The 7841-nt window shown below is 31.9% G+C and overlaps 1 protein-coding gene across 5 annotated transcripts in view; it reads right to left on the bottom strand.

Moving 5' to 3' along the window:
* The window catches only part of TRHDE (thyrotropin releasing hormone degrading enzyme), a 583493-nt gene that overhangs the window by 89821 nt on the left and 485831 nt on the right, over window positions 1–7841 (bottom strand). For all 5 annotated transcript variants that reach the window (XM_017019244.2, NM_013381.3, XM_017019243.3 and 2 more), the window contains 2 exons: window positions 5550–5683; window positions 5396–5451 (listed from right to left, as the gene is read on the bottom strand). In XM_017019244.2, the coding sequence (XP_016874733.1) occupies window positions 5396–5451; window positions 5550–5683 (190 nt within the window). The remainder of the gene's footprint in view (window positions 1–5395; window positions 5452–5549; window positions 5684–7841) is intronic.

Raw genomic sequence — 7841 nt, 5'->3', positions numbered from 1 at the left:
TAATTCTTTACTCCTTAATGCTTTCATAACATTTTATTCATAGAATGTATATACTGAATATAGTGAGTTACGTACCATGCATCTTCCCTGCTAGATTGTGAGTTCACTGAAAATAAGAAATGCATCTTGTTCACTTTTATATCCCCCAATATAACCATGCTTTATCGAAACAAACAAACAAACAAAAAACAAAAACAGGCAAGGCACTGTGGCTCACGCCTGTAATCCCAGCCCTTTGGGAGGCCAAGGTGGGTGGATCACCTGAGGTCAGCAGTTCAAGACTAGCCTGACCAACGTGGTGAAACCCTGTCTTTAATAAAAATACAAAACTAGCTAGGTATGGTGGTGGGTGCCTGTAATCCCAGCTACTCAGGAGGCTGAGGCAGGGGAATCACTTCAACCCAGGAGGCAGAGGTTGCAGTGAGACAAGATCATGCCATTGCACTCCGGCCTGGGTAACAAGAGTGAAACTCCATCTCAAAAAACAAAAAACAAATACAAACACCCAACAACACAAATATCTAGGCATTTTAGTTACTAATTTTAAAGTGCAAGCCATAATACAATAGAACTTGCAAGGCAATTAATTGATTACCTAACTGCAAGCATTGAAATTTATAATATATAAGTGTGAAAACAGTGCCAGACTGTAAAGCAGCATATACCTTTTCAAAAATGAGGAAATAACACAATATTACCAGAACCCGTGTACATAAAACCATAGGGCTTAACTTTGGGACCTGAATAAATGAAGACAAATAACATTATCGCTGGAAAACTCAAATTTGAAAAGATGTTAATACTGTACAAATTGATTTATAAATCTAATGCATATCTAGTCATAACTGTAGTGTGATTTTTTAGTAGAGTTTGTCAAAATGACTCTAAAATTTATATTGAATGGAAATATGTAAGATTCTGAATAAGAACAAGATAAAATTTGGGCAACTGCAACATACAATAAATCTAAACCTATTAAAACAATATGATGGTGCAAAAAAGAACAAAGAGAGCAGTTAGGCAAAATAAAAAAAATCTCTAAAATATGGGCATTTGCATTAGGATAAAGATATCATTTCAAATCCACAAAAATTAAAACCTTTAAATAAGTAGGATTGAAATAATTGGCACTTATTAAAGTTAAAGAAAATTAGACCTTTACTTCATTCTAAACATAAAAATTGATCAGAGAAGGAAGGGTTGAAGAGACAGATGTAAAACAAAAACAATCTCTTAAGAAAAATAGAATATTTCAAAATCTTCAGACAGGGAAGCCCTATGTGAGACAGAACCAGAAAGCTATAAAAGGAATGCCTTGACATATATATTAAAAACCTCTGAATGATAACCACCACAAAGCTTAAAAATAATTAGCATAGTGTTGAGTGAAAACTACTGTAAAGTGTATGCTACAAAAAAGGATTAATATCCAAAAACATGCAAAATATATAGGAAAGAATAGTAGGAAATACCTTTGCTCATTTTCTATTAGGTTTTTAATCTTTTGTTTTTAATTTGGTGATAATTCACAGAAGAAAACATACAAACAGCAAATGTATATGAAAGGATGCACAACTTCTTTTTAACCAGTAATGAATAACTTTTATAAAATCACTTTTGCCACTAGACTGTCAAAAGTTTAAAAAATATATACCATTCATTATAATGCAGGATTTGAGGAAATTGGGCCCGCTCACACATGGTTGATGGAGGGTTAAATTGGAAAAGGCTTCAGAATATAATTTCTAATATTTATTTAAAAAGTCATACCCCAAATTCAACTTACAAAAGTAAATCTTAAAAAAATACACATACACAACAAAAGACTCCTCATGGACACTCATTGCAATCTTGATTCTAATAGTGAAAAATTAGAAACAATAAAAAGATCCCCAGATTTATTTTTATAAATGAGTCAGAGAATAGACTTTCTGTTCATAAAAAAAAAAAAAACACTAAACAGTAAGAAAGTGTAAAGAAAAAATGGCTAGATAAATACATGCCAAATATTTTACCTGTGAGCAGGATAAAATGGCAGGGAATGAAGGGAGTAAAAGAAGATTTCATATTGTATCTCTTGTTTTGTTTTAGTCCTTTACAATTAGAATGCATTCAGGCAAATTTATATATTTAAAAAACAACCAAATAAAGAATGACTAGAGCAAGTTTGCTTAATCTCACAACAAGTCGTGGCATAAAGTTAATAGTCTAAATAATTAACAATTACTTTATCAATTCAAGTAACAAATATACACGGGCACAATCCTGTAGCAAACATTAGGGTAGACAGCAGTAATAAACGGATGACACAAAGGCTTCTCCTCCACATCATTGAAGAACTATCAGGAAACCAGAAAAGTAAGTGGTTGAGCAATAAGGTGATAATTGCTGTAACACAGATCCATAGAATATCACCTTACTTTTGCTGGGAAGGACAGATAAGTCCTCAATGAGGGAGGGTGAGTAAAATCATACATTTTTTCAATGTATGATAATAATCTCAACAGTCAAGGGGAATGAGGATAGCAAGAAATTTCATGTAATGGGCGAAGTCACTCTTACTTGAGGTCATGGACTCTGCTGTGTCACTCTTTGGGGTTGAACTACTTCCTCCACCCCTGCTCCAAAAGCTGTGCCGCCTTACCTAAGCAACTTAACCTCTCTTAATCTCAATGCCTCAGCTATAAAATGTCAACAAGTAACCACACCCACTCCACTGGTTCATTGAGAAGACTGATGGAGATCATTCATAAAAGCATCAGAACAGTACCTGGAGCATAAGTATTTAATAAATATTTGCTATTCTTTTATGTGTTATCTTTAAAGAAGCCAAAGAGTGCACGATGTGTTTAGGAGATTGAGAGAAGGTTGATATAGACTGAACAGCAAAACTATGGAATATTTACAATACTACAATGAAATATGAATAATCCTTAACTCCAAGTAAGACCAGAGAATTTGCCTAAATGAATCTAAATTTGTATTTATTTACTCTTACTGTAATAGAAAAATTATCTCTTGAGCAATAAAACAAATTATAAATATATATTCAATGAGATTCCATGTTTTTCTGGTGAATTTATACAAATGATCATGAAATTATTTACTTCAACTTTTAAGGCTCCCAAAATTGTAATTGAAAGCATGCAAAATTGGAATTGAAAGCAATGTTCTGTCTTAGGGAAGAAGAAACCTAATTTTTGAAAAAGAAATTTATCCACTAAAATTAAATAAAATATTTCATCTAAAAATAACTTATATCATTTAATGCAGATGAGTCAACAGATCCCTTCCTTTTAATTTCCATCTGGCCTCTGTCATTAGGCTATCACTACTTACTTGCTTTCTCACCATCATTTCAAACCCGTAACGATTCACATGAACGACTGCCTCGAAACCCCTCAGTCCTTCTATATCCTCTGGCTCTTTTATTACAATAAATACTATTACTTCTAAGAAGCAGCTTAGCGCTCTGGTTAATGGCAGAGGCTCTGAAGACAGACCACCTGGATCCAGGCTGTGGCTCTCCCAATTATCAGCTGTGTGACCTCTCTGAGCTTCCATTTCCTCACACTTAGAGTGGGAATAGTAATAATATCTATCTACATATCTTATAAAGTTGTGAAAATTAAACAAATTACTATATATAAAATAGAAAAGCATTTGGCTCCTTAAAAGTGCTAAATAATTCTTAGCTAATGAAAACAGCTTTCTTTGAGTTCCTTACCCTTTCTTTGTGGTACTCAACACCTCACTCTCTCTTTTTCTGCTTCTCTTTCAGTACATTATCACATTAAATACATTATCCTTCTGGCTTGCTGGACTCTCTAAACTTCTGTGCCAAAATAATCTTTCTTTCGTACATAAAACTTTCTACAAAGACTTCAGATTTTACTGCAGAGCAAAAGCCACATATTAATCATTATCTCCACACATGATTCAGCAGGCCTTTATGTAGCTCTATTATTTCTAAATTTTTGCCCAATAAGATGGTGCTATGGCATGGAAAAGCCTTCGTTTATCTTTACTAGAACTGAACCCCAGTTCTTATTACACAAATACATTAATTGGTACAATTTCATTAGCAATTTCCACGTTGTTGATAAGTTGTCCTTAGATTTGCCATTCAATTATTAGGCAAATATGTGCCTAAAATTGTACATGCCTGGTCAGAATGAGGCACTGATACAGCATCACTCACCAAATAAGAAAAATATTAGCAATGTTTTTTATTTCTTTAGTAGCAATAAGGGAGGCAAAAGTCAGAGTATTTTTTTAAATAGAAAAGCACCTGAAATTTTTTCCTTTACCCTCTATATATTTATGTTGTCCCCTCTATATTGCTTGTTTCTACAAAAATCAATCTCTGTAATTTGATCCCAAACTTTGGCTTTGCTTCTATCAAAGTAATTATCAAGTCTTCTATGTGTAAGCTTATTATTTTGATGGATTAGAATCCTGTAGTGTGTAATATGCTTTTTAACATATGGAAGAGAATTGAATTTTGATTGAATACATAAACTGTAAAAGCAGTTTCAGGTCCCATGAAAAAAAGCCTATTACTAAAATAAGTCATGTGTTAATATCAGCACTACTAACTAACCAGTTTCCCCTGATTATCTTAGAAGAAAATGTGGTAAATCATGATAACCAGGTAAGTAAAGAGAGTCACCTGTCTTAATTGACAGCTTGTATAATTTGATTTTTAAAATTAAAACTGTACTTGGCTGTGAAACAGTATGAAATATTAAAGGGACTGAGTTTGTTTTACATTTTAGTCTCAAAATTGAGCAAATAGCTTCAGTTTATGAGCAACATTTCATTTAATGACTATTCAAAGGAATAACTAATTTGAATATTATAAATCTAATTATTAAAATAACACAAATATTACTATAGTACAACTAAAGTCTTCTACAAGATTGATATATATTTTGTCAAGAACGGTCTTACCCAGTGGAATATTTAATTCTGTTTTGCAGCATAAGCTTCTTAGAATGAATAACATTCAAAAACATTTTTAAAAGATATACTAGTATACATCAGGGAAAAATTGCCAATGCTTCAAGGTAATTTCTATCAGAACTTAAATATGGCCCAATGGTCACTTTATAGAGTTCATTAATGAATTTGGGAAGAGACTATTAATCTTCAGTGTTAAATCGACCTTGTGGTGAAATTCATCAAGCTTATCCTGACTTAGAAATACCCTATAGCTATTATTGATAGAAAGTTTGGGAGACTAATTAGAACTCATATCCAAAGTCAAAGAACATAAGATAGAAATAGATTTTTTTAAATGTCCTAAATAAAAGACATATACATATTATGCAGTTTAATACAGGAAGTCTTGCAGGCACAAGTTTTTATTGGGGAGATCCACAGGAAAACATACCTGGCTAGGCTGAAGGCATCATCGATCAAGCCCGCTCGGTTACTGACAGAAAGAACCTGAGGCCAATTAGAAAAAATAATAGGATAATTTAGGATTAAAATGGTAGGTGTTCACATACCAAAAATTATCTTTGATAAGCAAATCTGGAGTGTACCTCATGATTCCGGATTAATTGATCAATTAATAATCTCCAGTTCCTTAGGTCATAGTTGACTCTAAAATAGCCAGTTTGATTGATGTTCCCCAGCAGCCAGCTTCCTTTGTCCAAATAAGTTATTCTGTGGTGCTCTGAAAAAAGCATTTTTGGGATAGATTTCAAACTTTAAGAGTTAAAATGAAATGAAGTATGTTTTCTTAACGCCAGATATAACAATACCAATAATTAAGTGAATGTCATCTTAAATACCTAATTGAAGCCTACTCTTTAATTAATCACTTGCATCTAGAATTTGCTAGAAAAACTTTTAATTGGTTACTCACTATCATCTCAATTAATTGTTTTCTTATAATTAGCATTTTTGTTCTTGACAAAACCCCATTACTTATACATAATTTTCTTTCTCAAAGTAACTGTAACCTAGAAATCTACCACTGTATTCAGGCAACTTCTAATTAGATCGTATGGGGATATGACACTAGAATGAAAGAAGAGGTTTTAGATGCATATTCTACTAATTTGATTCAGTAAGAAAATATTAAAACAATAGAGCTCATTTACTTGAAAGTCACTGTTGTTTGCCTTTTTCTTGTGCTTTCTTGAGAGAACTAATAAATAACAGACTTTTCAACATCATCAATAATGCTAGTAAAATAAATCTTACTTGTTCAAGATTTTAATATTTCCATATAGAATTAGAAACAAAGATAATAAATTCTGCTTATTGGGATCACTTTGGAAAATGGTAATTTGATTATCCTCACCAGCTAATTCAATTAACAGAAGCCAATAAAAAGTAAAAACAATATTATAACTTCTTACATATTTAACTCCTTCAAAAATAGTACAGAGCGAGGACACTATTCACTGCACATGTAGCCTTTATTGACTCCATGGAAACACAGTTCACAGTTCTAATAATTATGTTGTTGATTTTCAGGTCTCATGTTACATAAAATTGACACAGTGAAGTTGACTTTAAATGTATACACATACGCACAGACATACATAGTCTGACATCCAGGTGAAAAAAAATCAAAACCACATGGGTCTCCTCTAATTTCTACAATGACTCAGAACCATAAAAGGCATCACAGAAACCATAAGCTTCTGGTCTGAGTAGGGATACATCTCTAGTTCTTACTCCAATGTCAAAGTTTTTACACATTCAGACTTCAAAATAGAAAATAAATTTTCCCTCTCATTACCTTGAAGGAATACATTTACAGAGTACTCTCTCTCAAGTAGAGACTACACAAGAAGAGTTTATACCAGAAAACATATTGGGTGGACATAAATGACCATTCATTTCTCAGGTCTGGAATGAAGTGAACTAATAAACCCAATGCATATTATAGATGATCAATTTTTTTAAATCTGCAGTAAAATAGAATGTACTTCTACCCCAAAGTATACTGAATATAAAAATTTAATCTTTATCATTTCTAATATCACAACTTCCCACCACCTTTATAAATTGTGTCTATTAGAACAGATAAAGAAATAAGGCTCAGACAGGTTAATTGAATTACCCAAGAAAGGAAGTGGTTCATCTTATATCTCCTGCCTTCAGTGTCCAAATTTTTACTATGCTATATTCTATTGATACAAGATGGTATAACACTTTTACTATAATATGATATACATTTTTCACATTCTAATGTTGATTTGAAAGGGAGAAAATGGCACTGGAAAAAGAATTAGAGTACTATATTCTTTTATAGTACAAGAGTACTAGAGTACAAGAAAAGCTAAATTCTTGTCTCAGCTTTCCTATACGTAAGTGTTTAAATTTATGCTATTGATTCTCTTTGGTCCTCAATTTCCTTACTTGTAACCTGAGGGACAAATAATGGCCCTTAAGGTTCTTTCCAAATCTATGATTCAATGGAAGAAGACATTTATATGTACTATTTTTATATACTATACTTAATCCATGGAACTCAGAAAAATAAATCATCAGATATTTTTTCTAAAATGCAAATGATTTATCCAGTCTCCAGAACTATGATTGTATAGTTTTCAAAATTTAGTGTGTTTATTCAAACAATTGCTGCAAAAATTTAGAATTTCATATCTATTTTAAAGATGTAAAAATGACTACATAAATAAACGAGAAAATACCATTCTTTAAAATTAAAATAACCTCAAAACAGAGATCTTAATTAATAATGTCTGAATTCGGTGAATGAAAATTGAAACTTAAATATTGAGAATGTTGTTTCTTTTTTATTGTAAAAACCTTAGCAACCTTGAAGGCAGAATTAATTAATCTCTAAGTGTCTTCAA

Source organism: Homo sapiens, chromosome 12 (genome assembly GCF_000001405.40).
Source record: "Homo sapiens chromosome 12, GRCh38.p14 Primary Assembly".
NCBI classification, from domain to species: Eukaryota; Metazoa; Chordata; class Mammalia; order Primates; family Hominidae; genus Homo; species Homo sapiens.
This window is presented reverse-complemented; position numbering and strand designations above follow the sequence as displayed.